The 17,684-nt window shown below is 36.8% G+C and overlaps 1 long non-coding RNA gene across 1 annotated transcript; it reads left to right on the top strand.

Annotated features, from left to right (window-relative positions):
• Nucleotides 1-735: 735 nt before the first annotated feature.
• LOC107986892 (uncharacterized) lies at nt 736-16,359 on the top strand. The gene is made up of 3 exons (XR_001745720.1): nt 736-766; nt 8,155-8,228; nt 16,291-16,359. It is a non-coding gene; the product is annotated as an uncharacterized LOC107986892 (long non-coding RNA).
• Nucleotides 16,360-17,684: the final 1,325 nt, after the last annotated feature.

Here is a 17,684-nt window from a genome sequence, read left to right on the forward strand (position 1 = left end):
TAACATTACAATTTTAAATTCAGAAAAATGAGTGATTGTTTACCTAATCAATGTGTGCTTTCATGATTCCTATATTCCTTGTACTGACAATTTGTTGATGATACTACAGAGGTAGGATAGCATTGTATAGAAAATAAAATTAACTTTTCACATCCTTTATTATTTCTTGATCATATTTTGGATTTTGGACTTTCATGGGGCCTGCGGCCCCTTTGTTTTGGCCAATTTCTCCCATTTGGAATGAATGTATTTATGCAATGCCTGCATATCCATTGTATCTAGGAAGTAACTAGCTTGCTTTTGATTTTTACAGGCTCATAGGCAGAAGGGACTTGCTTTGTCTTAGATGAGACTTTGGACTTGGGCTTTTGAGTTAATACCAATATGAGTTAAGACGTTGAGGGACTGTTGGGAAGGCATGATTGTGTTTTGAAATGTGAGGACGTGAGATTTGGGAGGGGCCAGGGGCAGAATGATATGCTTTGGCTGTGTCCCCACCCAAATCTCATCTTGAATTGTAGCTCCTATAATCCCTATGTGTCATGGAATGGACCCAGTTGGAGGTAATGAAATCTTGGGAGTGGTTACCCTCATGCTTTACTTGTTATAGTGAGTGAGTTCTCACAACATCTGATGGTTTCATAAGGGGCCTTTTCTTCTTTCGCACAGCACTTCTCCTTCCTGCCACCATGTGAAGAAGGACTTGTTTGTTATCCCTTCTGCCATGACTGTAATTTTCCTGAGGCCTCCCCAGCCATGCTGAACTGTGAGTCAATTAAACCTCTTTTTTTAACTAATTACCCAGTCTCTGGTATGTCTTTATTAGCAGCGTGAGAATGGACTAATACATAAGTATATATGTGTATGTGGATATAGATATAGATATAGATATAGACATAGATATAGAGATAGAGATAGAGATATATATGGATTAGAGCCACACACAGGAGTTATTATATAGGAAGTAGCCATGCTAATAATGTAAAATTGCTTTTTCATATCTCTTTTGGAACTTATAGATTCTCTCTGAATAAATGGCTTCGTAGAAAATGTGAATGAAAAAATGTGACTTCAATGATCTGGAAGTGAACAGTGCTCAGGAAATATCACCAAGCCATGACACCATCAGTCTACACACTTTGACATCTATCAGTGGATATGTGAAAGGGTGTTAAACACCCTTCCCATTCTACTTTTCCTCTACTCCATCCCATACTTTACAAATCTTTATTTCTTTGCTCATGCTTATAATAAAAATCACCCCACAAAGAAATGATTCTGATTGCTGGCCAAGTTTAGCATTTTGAACATGTCTAGCTTGGCACATGAACAGAGCTCCCTGTCCACAGAATGGCAGCAAATACATATGCTGCAATTTCTGGGCAGTATTTGTTCTTCAATCTCATTTCTTTCCTAGCTGTGCCAACTTCTGGGTATGCCCAAACTGAAACCCTAAGATTGCTCTAAAAACTAATTAGATAAAAAGTTGAAGGGGAATGAAAAACTGGAAAGAAAACAAAAAATTAAATATGCACTCCCATTCTTCCCCCTCTCCCTCTACTCTCTTTCTCCACTTACCACTTTTCATTTGTGTTAGAATCGTTTACTTTAAGACTGCGGAGAAAAAGATATATTCATTTCATCCTCAAAAAAGAAGCTACAGGTCCAATTCGTCGTAGATTCTTCCTAGGATAGACTAAACTAGATTACTAAAAGCAAGCAAAGCATTAAAAACAAATTACAGACACACTCATGCAGCTGGTCCTAAAGTTGCAACTGACATTATCTATTGGCTTCTTCCACCAAATATTGTATTATAGATTGCCCTTTCCTTAGGCCAAATGTTCCTGTTCTAAGATGTTTGGTTAATGGCTCAGGCTTTCATCTTAAAAAAAATAAAAAATTTAAAAAAACTTTCAGGTTTAGGGGTACATGTACAAGTTTTTTATATAGGTAAATTGCATGCCATGGAGGTTTGGTGTGCAGATTATTTGATCAGCCAGGTAATAAGCATAGTATTTGATCCTCACTCTATTCCCATCCTCTACCTTCAAGTAGGCCCATGTGTCTGTTGTTTCCTTCTTCGTGTCCATATGTACTCAATGATCAGCTTCCACTTATAAGTGAAAACATGTGGTATTTGGTTTTCTAGTCTTATTTTACTTAGGATAATGGCCTTGAACTCTATCCATGTTGCTGCAAAGGATGTGATCTTATTGATTTTTTATGACTACATAATATTCCATGGTGTATATGTAACACATTTTCTGCATGCAGTCTACTGTTGATGGGAATTTACATTGATTCCACATCCTTGCTATTGTGAATAGTGCTGCAGTGAACATATGCATACATGTGTCTTCATGGTAGAACAATTCATATTCCTTTGGATATATACCCAATAATGGGATTGCTTGGTCAAATGGTAATTCTGTTTTGCGTTCTTTGAGAAATTACCAAACTGCTTTCCACAATGGCTAAAATGATTTACATTCCCACTGACAGTATATAAATATTCCTTTTCTCTCCACAATCTCATCAGCATCTATTTTTTGACTTTTTAATAGGGGCCATTCGGACTGGTATGGGATGGTATCTCATCGTGGTTTTGATTGGCATTTCTCTAATGATTAGTGATGTTGAACATCTTTTTATATGCTTTTTAGGCGCATGTGTGTCTTCTTTTGAAAAGTGTTCATGAGCTTTGCCTGCATTTTTTATGTGGTTGCTTGTGTTTTGCTTGTTAATTTGTTTAAGCTTTTTATAGATTCCGGATATTAGATAACTTTGTCAGATGCAGTTTGCAAATATTTTCTCTAATTCTGTAGGTTGTCTGTTTAATCTATTCATAGTTTCTTTTGCTGTATAGAAGGTCTTTGGTTTAATTAGGCCCCATTTGTCAATTTTTGCTTTTGTTGCAATTGCTTTTAGCATCTTTATCATGAAATATTTGCCAGGTCTTATGTCCACAATGCTATTTCCTAGGTTATCTTCCAGGATTTTTATAGTTTTAGGTTTTATATTTAAGTCTTTAATCCATCTTGAGATGATGTTTGTATATGGTGTAAGGAAGAGGTCCAGTTTCAATTTCAATCTGCTTATGGCTAGACTTTTATCTTCAGTATGGGTAAACCCTTCCTTTTTCTGCCCATGTTGGGTTGCAATTGCTGCAAATGCCCATTAGCAATTATTACCCAGCATAGTAATACTAAAATCATCCCAGGGAAATTCCCATGTCTCAAACATACACAATCTTATCCCTGTGGTAGAATAACAACCCAAAATCATTTCAGTAATCAATATTGATTATTCCAGGCAGTGAATTATCTTCTTTTTGGCTTGCTTATTCACTGTCCTCAGGGCCTGTAGTATTAGTCACAGAACCCAATTCAGTGGGAATTACTACATTCCCTGATGAAAATATTTCTTGTCTGGAACCACAGCCTTCATCCTAGTCATGCCTAATATCATGAGCATAGGAAGCAAAAATTGTCTGAATAGGTTCTAGATGTGATGGTGAGAGGGGCCACTCCTACTTATTCTCTTTGGTTCAAAGTTCTGGGGGAGCACAATGTTATGGTAACTGTTGTGCCACATAGCAGCTATTGTTTCAATGCATGTACGGTATACTAGAGGATATGCTCCTCAGTTCCACAGAGGATTGTCCTAGTGCTGGTGCTGTATGTGAGCCTTCAACTGAGCCAACCCAAAATTCTATTAGACTGGCTACTTCTAAGTGATAAAGTACTTGGTAAGTCAGTGAATTTTATGGTCATGATCTCGTTGCCATACTTTGTTGATGTAAAATTGGTCCCCTGTTCAGACAATGTTTCCTAAAATAATGTGATGATAAGTAAGGTATTGTAAAATCTATCACTGGCAAAGAAAGCAAACCTGAGCCCAACATACATATTATTCTGAGAAAGCCAAATTTCAGCCTCTTCTGTGGTAGTCAGACAGGTGGCTGGCTTGTAATTTCTAGAAATGGCATCATGTCAGTCAATAGTTTTTGTTGGTTTCTGCTGCTGGCATGTTGGGCACTCAGGAGAGGCAGTATCCAGCTTAACCTAATTGAAAAAGAACGATTATACTGAGACTCATGTGCAGTCTGCATCTCTACTTTAATGGCCGCTCTGGTCTAGTTATGAACTGACTGGGGAAACACTGAAGTGGTTAGAGACACAGGATAGCTAATATCCACAGGATAGGTCATCTGGTCCAATTATGTTAGATGTTCTCCTCCATAATGAATGCTCTCTCCTTCACACTAATGGGAGAGGTAGTAGTTAATGTATTTTGTACTTCTCCCATATATCACTACACACCTTTTACAAGACCCTACTATCGCATGCCTTTCAGTTCAGTGACCCACCAGGGAAGCAATTAGTACTGCCCAGGACCCAGCGTTTATTCATAACTCAGGCCCTATGTCTCTTCATACAAAGTAGTTGATTGACTATATTGTCTACAGTTCTAACTACTGAAAAGATTTAACTTCCTGAATTAAGCTGTAATGAAACAACTAGTTTCTTCCTCGTGTAAACATATAACACCAACCCATTTGTAAAAGAAGTCTAAGGCCTTTCTCCTCCACATTTTGACATAGGTAATCCCCCATAAGCTCAAAAGTATGAGCCGAGAGGATAATATCATGCAACAGAAAGAGGTAACCTAGGAGTCTAGACTATCTGTTCCTGCAATTTACCCATGCCTTCTGGACCTGCTTTAGTTTAATGCCAAATGTAATATTTACATTATACAATAAATTGCTGATATTCCTACCAAACTTATCTGATAATACCTACTTTATGATGAGAAGCTCAGCTCATATAATCTTTTGGGATTCTGCGGTCAGGCACTTAATCTCCACCAGGGTCTAAAAGAAACTGGGAAATGTATTTTCCAATGGACATTAATTACCTGATAAGAACATGGCTTTACTACATAATCTTAGGTATCTGCCATGGAGCTTGCCAGAAACTCCAAACATCATCATTATCTACCACAAATACCATTAATATGCTAGATCATAGGGTCCAAGTAGCATGGGTAATTATACTGGTGCTCAAACATAATGCAGAGCTTTTCCTTACTCAAGGGCCTCAAAACTGTTAGCTTTTCTCGTTGCCAATAAATGAACCCTATCAATATACGCAAATGCAATACATGTTACTTCCAAATCCCAGAAGCTTCTTGCTACATTCATAGTGATGCCAGTAATAATAGGAGTTGTAGGAACAAAAACTTGTCCTCAACCTCAGAAAAGATGTTCTGATAAGCTTCAAAACACTGGACTTCCAAAGATATCAGCAAAGTACCAGCAGCCTGAATGTTCAATGGGTCTGTCTTAAACTATCTGGAATGTACTTGTCTTACTTGATCTGTAGGTTCTTGCCACCTTCTCCTCAATGGGTCTAAGGATCCTTATATGTTATATATAATGTTGGAACAATTGAAGTCATTGTGAAATATAGGAAGACAGCAGAAGAGTTAACATAACTCTGGAGCAAGCGTATGAATGTATATGGTTGTTTCTGCCTTATAAATATAAATACCCTCTGACTGATGATGGTTATCCAGCAATATAATGATAAATGCTTAACAACTGTATCTCAAAAGGAAAAAGAGAAGGGAGACAGAGACAGAGAGAGAAACACACAGAGAGAAAGATAAGGGGAGAGAGAGGGAGAAAAAGGAAATGAAGGAAGGGAGGGAGGAAGAAAAGAAGTCTGGATTTTAGTGTTTCCCAAATTTACTGGTGTGTTCCAGCTTTCATTGTGATATAGCTAAGCAGAGACATTGATATTATATCATCAGTGTGTTGACAACAGAAAGGCAAAAGCATCATTTGTCACATAGCCTCTATAAGACACCAGTCTCTCTATAAGACTAAATGTGGTTTGGGTTCCTTAGGGAATCAGAATTAACTTAGTATCATATATAACTATTTTCAAAAAGCCTAGATATTCATCTTTTCCTAGACAAACGTCATTCAGCAAATGGCAGGACCCTTTGAAGAAAGATCAGTGGAATATTACTGAAGCTTTTGAGGAGTTTTCCTTAACATAACCTGGCTTCTCTTTTAATCACAGGCTGCAGGTCTGTGAACTGACTTTGACTCAGAAACTATGTGAACAATCAGTTTTCTAATAGTGATATCAATATCACCCACCACCCACTGCCTTCTCTTCCTCCTCCTCCTCATATTTCCTTTTCTTCTTCAACAGCTTTATTGAGATATAATTCATATACCATGAACATCCCCCTTTAGGGTGTACAATTCAATGCTTTTAAGTGTATTCACAAACTTGTGCAACTATCACAATCACAAGAAACCCCATCCCCATTAGCAGTTATATCCCCATTCCTGTCCCTCTCCAGGCAACCATTAATCTATTCTCTGTCCTTATCAATATGACTCTTCTGGACACTTCATATAAGTGGAGTTATACAGTATATGGTCTTTTATAACTGGTTTCTTTCACGGTGGCATAATATTTTCAAGGGTTATCCATGTGGAAGCAAGTAGATCAGTATTTGATTATTTTTAATACCAAATAACATTCCATTGTATGTATATAACACATTTGTTTATTCATTTGTCAGTAAATGAATATTTGAGTTCTTTTCAATTTCTGGTTTTTATAAATAATATTACATCATCAATTATATCATACCAAATCAATGAGAGTACCTGTTCTGATTAGTGACTACTTCTGTCTCTGAAGTGCTCTTCACCAACAGCAGTCTTTTAAAAAGTAATTTTGGTTATCTTGAACAGCTTTTTAAAAATCATATCCTCCAAATTTTGTATTGGCCATATTCCCCAAATTTGGCAGAAATTCATTCAAGTCATTTTCACAGGATTAAAAAAATAGCAGTTAGAGTGTAAATCAGTTCAACCACTGTAAAAAGCAGTGTGGCAATTCCTCAAAGAGCTAAAAACATAACTACCATCTGACCCAACAATCGCATTACTGAGTATATACTCAAAGGAATATAGATTATTCCACCATAAAGACACATGCACGTGTCTGTTAATTGCAGCACTGTTCACAACAGCAAAGACCCAAATCAACCCAATGCCCATCAATGGTAGACTGGATAAAGAAAACGTGATACATATACAGCCATAATGCAACCATTAAAACAGAATAAGAGCATGTTTTTTGCAGGAACATGGATGGAGCTGGAGGTCATCATACATAGCAAACTAATGCAGGAACAGAAAACCAAGTACTGCATGTTCTCACTTATAAGTGGGAGCTAAGTGATGAAAACACATGGACACAAAAAGGAAAACAGCAGACACTGGGGCCTGCTTGAGGGTAGAGGATGGGAGGAGGTAGAGGAACAGAAAAAATAACTATTGGGTACTAGGCTTAGTACCTGGGTGACAAAATAATCTGTATAGCAAAACCCCATGGCATGAGTTTACCCATATAACAAACCTGCACATGTACCCCTGATCCTAAAATAAATTGTTTTAAATAGCAGTTAAAATCTAACTTTATTAAATAATACAGAAAATTAGATTATAGCATAGCATATGTTTTGTATCTGCACTTGTATTTAACACTATATTATGAATATCTTTATTCTTCAGTACCTATAGTCCTACTTCATTCTTTATAAGAGCTCTGTCATATTCTATATACTATATATATTAAAGATATATATTTTTTCACCTGTGACAAAGTTTCTGTAAGATAAATTCCTAGAGAAGAAATTACTAGCCAGAAATAGTATAAATATATTAATAGATCACAACAATTACTATCTGAGACAATTGAAAAACTTGGCACTACTACCAATGAAATGACTGTTTCTCCACAGCTTTACCAGTATTGAATAATATCAATAGTTTTTATTAGCTGAAGGGGCAGCAGCAACCATGGCAAACTCTCTCTGGTGCTGGCAGAAATGCAAAAGGGAAAAAGTGGAAACCCTGGAGGTCTCTTAAGTCCTACTCTCAGACTGTCATTTCAAATACATTGCATGGACTAAAGTCAGTCATGTCGGTGAATCCAAATTTAAAGGGCTCTAGAGTATACTATGATAGGTGTACAATAGTTAAAGAAATTGTGAATTTGGCTATTATTCAAATCCATTCTAATCCCATTTTTATTTTGTTTCTGTGTTTGTTTTTTTCAGGTTGAAAAGGTCTAGTAAAGTGAAGCAATTTATGCAGTTCCTTTCCTTGTTAAACTGGCATAGGAGGAAAGCAGGTTTGTAAAATGCCCTGTTACTTAATCTTCATTGATCTTCTATGAACAGCCTCTCTAAATGGTGCTTTTACCCCTTCCAAATGAAATGGCAGGTTTTACAGATTCCATGCAGTGAGTTGACCTAACTACTTAACTCAGGACAGTTCCCATTACTAAGCTTTATTCTGCAATATAGGAATGTAATATAAATATAATTGTTTTTCCATTGATGTTTAAAGGGATACTAATTGCTCAAGAAAATATCTTTGCTGAGAAAAGCAACATTTTTCAAGGTATACATGGACTTTCTCTCAAACAGGACTTCCCTTGCTTTCTGCAATGATGAGGCTTACGTGAATTTTAAGTCTTCCAGAATATATATTTTTCTAAAAGAAATGAAAACATTGGCATTTGAAGAATAGGTCCATTATAGAACAATAGATGTAGTTTTCATGAAACGCTCCATTGCATCTTACTCAGACACAAGAAATAAAAAACACAAGTACTTCTCTTACTTTGCAAATATGGCAGTCCATATCTGCCACTTGAAATATTGAAAGAAAAACCATTTTCTGTTATTGTTAGTCTATCATATCATAGGGAGTTTTGGTTGCAGGAAACAAGCCAACCATGACTGATTTAAGCACAAAAATACATTAAAGAATGTTGAATAGTTTACAGAATCTTAATGCTGGAGTGTTGAGAACAGTCAAAGAGAAAAGCAAAAAGAAAAGTCAGAGAAACAAGATTAAGGATATGAGAAAAATCTCCCCAAACACCATTGCATCTTGAAACAGATCCTAAAGCTTGTATTGCTGATTCAGCCACCGCTGGACAAAGAATGGATGTGGCCACAGGAACTGCTGCCACTATTGGCTCTCAAAATTTGATGTAACCTCTGCTACCTGTCTCCAGAATGCATCCCACGGCCCTGCTTCTTTACATTCCCACGTTCTCAGTCAAAGACTGAGAAAACCTATTTGTGGGTGCACAAATAGGCAGAACTCAAGGAGAGATTAAGGAGTAAGTATCTGGCATTATATGCTTGTATATTAGGATGGCTTTCTGTCATACAGTGAAAGATCAATCAAATGTAGAAAGAGAATTCAGAGGCTGGGAAGCCAGAAAAACTAGCAATCTATCATTTGTTCACTATAATCTCAGAATATTGGGAATATTTCTTTATGAAGGCAGAAGTTAAAATCTTTCCTTATAACTTTTTCTATTTCATAGTTATTTAAATGGAGAGACTACAGTAATATTAACCTTTTCCATCCCTTTTGTTCAGGGTTTATGCTTCCTTTTGTTTTGAGGACCACATAGTTTTTAATCCAATATGATTTTTTTGTTCATTTTACCTCTCCAGAATTATTATAAACACTATTAAAATTAGACTTACTTCTGCACCTTAGTTCATATTTTCCACTTATCATACTTATTTAACTTCTACTTTCCCTTTCTTTTTCCACTGGAGATTTTTCCTCTATGGGTTTGTATTTTATACATGCTATGTTAGTCCATTCTTCCACTACTATAAAGAAATACCCGAGGCTGGGCCATTCATAAAGAAAAGAAGTTTAATTGGCTCATGATAGTGCAGGCTGCACAAGCATAGCTCCAGCATCTGCTTCTGGTGAGGACCTCAGGAAGCTTCCAATCATGGAGAAAGGGAAAAGAGCAAGCATGTCACACAGAGAGAGCAGGAGCAAGAGAGAGCAGGAAGAGATCCCAGACTTTTAAACAACCAGCTCTCACATGAACTAACAGAGCAAGAACTCACTTATTACCTTGGGGAAGACACCAAGCCATTCATGAGAGTTCCATCCCCATGATCCAATACTTCCCACTAGGCCCCACCTATAATATTGGAGATGACATTTCAACATGAGATTTGGAAGCAACAATCATACAACCATATCACATGCTCTTCCATTTCTGGTTACTTATTAAATCCTGTGCCTATATTTCTATTCACTTACCAATATATTAAACGTATCAATATTCACATCATTAAGGATTAAGACAAAGATCACAGCACATCGTAACCTCAATTTATTCTCTTGGTGCTACTTTCACTTCCCACTGCCAAATAACTTTTGTGCTTTCCAAAACAATTCACATGTGGCCCCTAGCCACATGTGAATCTTTAAATTGTTTTAATTAAATAAAATTTTAAATTTAGTTTCTCAGTCTTACGAACCACATTTCAAGTGATCAATGGTTCCACTTTACTAATGACTTCCACATTGAACAGTACAAATAAGAAATATTTTTATCACAGAGAGGTCAATTGCGCAACACTGGCTTAGACTTTAATTGTAGATCATGTGGGCAGTTTTTACATATTTGATTCTTAGTTATTTAAGCATTAATAAAATTTACTTATGTATTATTCTATCCTATTTTCCTTATAGTTTTTCTGTATTTATTCATTCTTTCACTATGCTTCTTCAAAGCCTATTTCCCAAGAAGTTTCTATGTTCAATTTTTATGAATTCTTCATTCCTGATAACATCTTCAGTTTGTACTTATATGTCAATATTAGTTTAACCTCATATAAAATTCTAGGTTTGACATTCATTTCCATCATCTTCACTTTGACCATAATTTTCCTTTGTCTTCTGAAATCCTTGATTCTTTCGAGACATCAAGTGACAATTTCAGAGGTTAAATTGAAATACTGGCTCCAATTCTTCATTTTCCTCTCTATCCATATCTTTTGCATGTAACTTTGTAGATGCTCACACAAAATTCATAGTGCACTGACAGCCCCTTGAATTTGGATTCATCCACATGACTGACTCTAGTCAATGGAACGTGGCTGAAATGAAAGAGCACTGGACTGAGACTAAGACTTAAGGGATCCGCAGGGGGCCGGGTGCAGTGGCTCACACCTGTAATCTCAACACTTTGGGAGGCCAAGGCGAGCAGATCACGAGGTCAAGAGATGAAGACCATCCTGGCCAACTTGGTGAAACCCCATCTCCACTAAAAATACAAAAGTTAGCCAGGCATGGTGGTGGGCGCGTGTAATCCAAGCTACTCAGAAGGCTGAAGCAGGAGAATAGCTGGAACCCGGGAGGCGGAGGTTGCAGTGAGCCGAGATCGCGCCACTGCACTCCAGCCTGGTGACAGAGCAAAACTCCTTCTAAAAAAAAAAAAAAAAAAAAAAGAAACCCCCCAGGGTTTCCACTTTCCCTTTTGCATTTCTGCAACACCTGAAAAAGAACTTACCATGATGACAGCTGCCCCTCCAGCCTAGACCACAAGGAACAAGGAGTGGGTTGGCACAAAGTTGTTTGACAGGACTTCTTATTGATTTACAAAAATAATAGTGGTTACGACTGACTATACATTGTTGAACTATGGGGTATGAGTATGGCATCCAGGGTATGTCATTTTATGGCTCCTTGGCATCAGTTAGTCTAGAGTTCACATAGGAAGTGACGTCAAGAGTTAATTATTTAGCTCAAGGGAGAGGGAAGTGACTTGCTATCACAGTTTTAACGTCTCTCTGGGCCTGATGACTTAAAGGGGCTCACATTCCTCAGATTACAACTTTTTTCTCAGAACACATGGTAGTCACTCAGTCAGTAATGAATGTAGCAGTGAGCACATTCTCTGAAGAATGATTATAGATCCTAACACCAACTTCAGCCTTTCCCACAGTGCTTCTTACAAGTGAGCAAACAGCCTCCTGCTACAAACCTCCGTCCAGACGTAAGCACCTTTTTCTGGGCCTTGTGCTTGTTTTCCTCTACCTCTTACCATCATGAATTTATGGATGAGTGCAACTGTGGACCCTAATAACTCTGAGAGGGAAGGGTCCTGAATTAATATTCATCTGCCTACTCCCAGTAGCTAATGTCATGCATGCTTGGAGCGTAGTAAATATTCAATCAATGTTTATTGAACAAATAGAAACAACAGAACTGTGACCCACAGCAGAAAAGTGAGGATTAAAATCAGTTCCACATGTACATATGAGGAATGGCTGCTACCTCCATGACTCCAAAATCTTTTATTTTTGTCCACTTACTGAAAATTGAGGTCAACATAACTTTCAGACTACATCTGCTTCCTATCACTCTGTTCCATGAGAAATGGAAACAAAGTTATAAGCAAAGCAAAGTGAAAACACTGTGAGGTCGTATCCCTGTTGTCAGTTCCTAGGAAAAGAGACAATGTCATATTTTATTGTCTCTAAACCAGAACAATGATGAAAAATAATTCCCCATCTTCATAACAGTAATATTCAGATACTAAGGCTGCAGTGGCATAGATTTTTGTTGGAAGATACATTTTGGGGAGAATTTGGCAACACATAGAATTGCTACAATCCATGTCTTTTAACGCCATCTTGGCACTATCCTAATTCTCTTTTCAGATGTTCCACTAGGATGGGTGAGAGTGAGGATGTCTTCCTGCTGTGGACAGTTTTTCTTTTCCTTATAAATTTAACAAATACTGTGCCAGTGTGTAGTTTGTTCTCATCTCCACAGAGATAGGACACTAAGAGGAATGCTTTGCTTGACACAAATTCAAGGACACCCACTATGCAAGGAGAAATCATGCATCACAAGAAAAGGAAATGTTAGATTTTGCATAACATTGTTCAGTTACCTTAAGACGTGTTCAGTTTAAACTCCTTCTGTGAACACTGCAGTCTTGAGAGAGTAAATGACAAAGAGACAAGAGGATAGACACATGCCAGGCAGTAAAATCTTACTCAGAATATCAGGGACAGTGCATTTTGCAAAAGCTGCAGCAGCTTGGGCATTCTTACGGCATGTGGAATGGATAAAAGGTGTGCAAAATCCTGAGCAATCTTTCAATTTTCTATCGAATGATATAGCATTTTGCTTTTCTTTTCAGTAAAATTTAACAACTTAGTGTGACATTAAAATTGTTTCCTTTATAACTTCTATAGTGTCATTTTTTTATTTTATGCCATACAATCTCTTTATAAGTAAATCTGTAATTTAAAAATAGAAATCTCCTTTCAACATGCTGACAATTAAGCCCTAATAGACAGACAGTTCTATCAAGTCCTGCCTGACATCAAATTTGGCTCTCTAGGAGGTCCTGGGAGATTTTGCCCAAAGACATTTTCTCCAGATGTGTCTCTGCAATTTAGGTTTGAGTTTACACATGCTCATGTTCATATTTTAGGCAAACAAAATCTCAGTAATGTTTTATTGATCTTACTTCAAAAAAATGAGAGCTTAATTGGAGGAAAGAGATTGTTCCATCTGGATATTTTTGATAAGGTAGACCCTTAGGGAAGATCATTAGGCCCTAATTGGGAAAAGAAATTGGTCCTACTGCTGTCCCCTCAAGCTATTTCTTCCGCTTATCTTAACAAGAAAGGCCTAGTGGGGCTCTGTGTGCAGGCATAAAGCAGGCCTGGATTTTATGGAATCACATGGAAACTGAGTGACCAATGAGACGCTGTTGCTGGGGAGAGATTGTAATATATGCTAATGAAATCTGAGTTGATATTTAGTTTTTTAAAGAAAGAGGAAGAAAAGAATCTCTCTCTCTCTCTCTTTCCCTCTCTTTTCTCTTTTTCTCTTTCTTAATCTCTATCATGGGCTTTTGATATTAGATACTCTATGCTTATATCAAAATTACTTTTGCCTTTTGTTTATCCAGACCTTGTTTATCAACTGTCCTCACTGTCATACACTTCAGACATTTTTTTTTCTTTTTTGCTACTCTATCAGCTTTTCTTTCTACCAATAAAATCACCATCTCTCATTCTATCATTGATACATTGCTGGTGATTTTGTTAATGTTAAATCTTAAGATAATAAATTTCACACCAAGTATCAAGTGTTCAAGGTGATAGGGAAGAGTGTGGGGGTCTACATTAGGACAGAGGCCTGGGAGAAAATCTGGACAGGCTCCCAGGGGCTAAAATGCCTGATATCATGTCTGCCTACAGGGTCACTCACTTTTGCAGGATTTCAACTAATGGCAGTCAACAGAAATTCTTAAAACATGCCAAGTTGCGCAACATTCTCAAAATCATACAATGCCTATTGCTCAATAATTATTTGCTGAGGATAAATGAGTGAGAAAATAGTATTTTCTTCTTTGGGAAAAATAACATAGTATAGGCCTTTTACTGCAGTCCAATAATGAGTAAAATGAATCATAAATTTATGAGCCTCAATGATTAAGGAAAATACTCCCAACCAATCTCCCACATGTGTTCATAAACCCCATATCACATTAAGATAGTGTTTCCTATTTTTCATCCTTTATTTCTATGAGTGATACTAAATCTTTAATAAAATTAAGTATTAAATGATAGATTTTTCGTTGAATTTTATCTTGTTTAAAATTCTCTCCATGATACAGAACTCCCTTTGGAAAAAAAGGCAATGTCATTTCCTCTAATTTCTTGTCTGTGCTTCGAATTATTTTAAATTGTTGTTATATATTTGTAGAAACAGATACACATAATACAGATCAAATAATGCCCAAAATATAAATTCTCAATTTTATTAATATTTACTTCAAATTAACTCCATTTCTAAGCCAAGAGACTGAAGAAAAACAAGTAAAGTTTGTTGCTGAGGGTAAAGCACAATTAGTTCTGTCTGTTATTCCACGGCGTTGGTAGATACCTTTGTCTTTCCAAACAATGCCTCTGGTCCCTGAACACAGTCAGTAAGATCTTGTGATATGCCTGCCCTTCTCAAGCCAGGAGGGCTTGAGATGGGCTTATGTTCAATTCCATTAAAATTATTTTCTTATTTACCACACATCCTTGCTCCTGTGGGATCAGAGTGTACAAGCCTGGCTCCCATCTGCCTAAGATGGGATCAAACACTGAGGTGTGGACTGACTTCCTTTAACTTCAGAGTAAGTATCCACAATGTAGGAGCATCAAGTCTGCAAATAATAATAATAAAGAAGTTTTGGGCTATCATCTGTCCTAAGAGTGATTTCATATTTTATTTGCCAGACTTTTGACTCTGCATTTGGTTCTGAGCGGTCCTGGAAGTGTGTTGGATGTTTATGAAATGCCCCGATATATTTGCAATTTGCATTTGCCAACTCTATTTGGAAATCAATATATAAGAGTAGAGAAAAAAGTAAAGGCAACTATAATGTTGCCAAATGTGACTCTTTTTCCATGGTCTTTTTTTTCTTGAAAATGATTGTTTTGATATGAAATGATGACATGAATTTGCAGGAAAATAAGAACCATCTTTGCTATGGCTTATTTCCTAGGGTATGTGTAACAGATTATTTCTATCATTGTCAATGCTTTGCCAGTGTTTGCTATTGCCAAAAATCTCAGAACTTTACATTCCATTTTTGTAAGTGTGTCCAGTATTTCTGGCTGTGGCAGAATGATGAATGAATGATGAATGAAATTTTGCCATCATTTCTTAAGCCCCACCTCACCCTGTACCTGGCTCCATACCAAAGATTCAAGCCATTTCTCTCACTTCTATTCATTCTCTGACTTATGTTGTTCTCTGGCTGGTTTTCTATACATCCCATACACTGGCCTGAATTATACTGTTCCCAACCTGGAAATTCTTTAGTTCTTGCCCTTATCCAATCCATTTTTTTCATTCATCTTTTGTCTCACCATCTAGTTTGCAAATCACTTGAGAGCAATGACCATCTTGTACCTTTTTTGCATTCTTCATGATATCCTGCACACTAGGCACAATGCATGCACTCGCACTCACATAGTCATATATTGGTTAGAAGCTGTGTGTGTGTGTGTATAATGTGTGTTTATATATGTACTTATACATATGTACCCATTATCTTATATAATGGGTATATATGTGTACATTATGTGTGTATATATAATGTATGTTATATATATACATTTTATGTTGTATGTGTATAAAATTTTATGTCTATAATCTTATAAAAATATAAATATATAAATATAATTATAAATATATGTATATATGTATAAACAATATACAGTTTACCCTTGAACAACATAGATTTAAACTATGTGGGCCCACTTACACGTGAATTTTCTTCTGCCTCTGCCACCTATAAGACAGTAAGACCAATCCCTTATCTTTCTCCTCTTCCTTAGCCAGACTATTCAATGAAAAGATAAAGATGATGAAGACCTTTATGATAATCCACTTCCACCTAACGAATAGTAAGTATATTTTCTCTTCCATATGATGCTCTTAGTAACATTTTCTTTACTCTAGCTTTCTTTATTGTAAAAATATAATATATAATAAATACAACATACAAACTATGTGTTAATTGACTCTGTTATTGCTATACCTTCCAGTCATCAATAAGCTGTTAGTAGTTAAGTTTTGGGGGAGTCAAAAGTTTTATGTGGATTTTTGACTACTGGGGGAGTCAGTGCTCTTAACTCCCTAATTGTTCAAGGGTTAACTGTAAATAATATATATCATTAATATGCACTCAACATAATGTTGCACTCTACTAGATAGTCTGTTTGGGCTGCTATAACAAAATACCACAGACTGGGTGGCTTATAAACAACAGAAATTTATTTCTCACAGTTCTGAAGGCTTGAAGTCAAAGATCAAGGAACCAGAACATTCAGTATCTGGGTGAGAACCTGCTTCTTCATAGACAGCCATGGTCTGACTATGTCCTCACATGGTAGAAGGGATGAGGGATCTCTCTGGGGTCTCTGTTATAAGGACACTGACCCCATTCATGAGGGCTTTATCCCCATCACCTAATCATCTCCTAGCACCCCTGCCTCTTAATACTATCACCTTGTGGGGTGAATTTCAACATATGAATCTGGGGGGAACACAACCATTCAGTCCATTGCATGGATACTATAATGGCATGAGAAACCAGTACATCTTCCCTTCCTGTTTTACGGGCATTTATACTCTAAGATAATGATGACAATTACAAAATTATTATCTTCCTAATTATTTCATGTATTACATGCATATTATATGAGCTAATCTCTACATATATTATCTTATTTGATCTTTATGACAGTCTTGCAAGATAAATACTGTCATTGCCATTTTAGAAGTGAAGACACTAAGTCTCAGAGAAGTTAAACAACTTTCTCAGGGTTACAGAGTGGGTAAATAACAAAGAGAAACAGGAATTCAGGTCATCTTTCTGTAACAAGAACCAGTGGAATATGTTCTTTCTCTTGCTGGTCTTGTTTTACCTGGTTTTAGGAAATAAGGTGAGGAATGCCACTCACTATTCTCCTCATTATGAGTGCCTTCATTCTCATGTTTCCAGGTACTCACAGCCACCCTACGCTGCCCAGGGGCCTCCTCTACAATGCTCAGAAAAGTGCTCTTCCCATCCTTAGGGAAAACCATTATCCTTCTTCTGACTCTGATCTCATTTTAACTTGTTTCTCTAGTTATCCTCAGTATCTTCCTAGATGACAGCCTTGCTAGGTGACAGGTAGGCTGATGTTCACACTTTACTAATGGATAATTATGGCTTAATATTTGTCAT

Source organism: Homo sapiens, chromosome 8 (assembly GCF_000001405.40).
Source record: "Homo sapiens chromosome 8, GRCh38.p14 Primary Assembly".
NCBI classification, from domain to species: domain Eukaryota; kingdom Metazoa; phylum Chordata; class Mammalia; order Primates; family Hominidae; genus Homo; species Homo sapiens.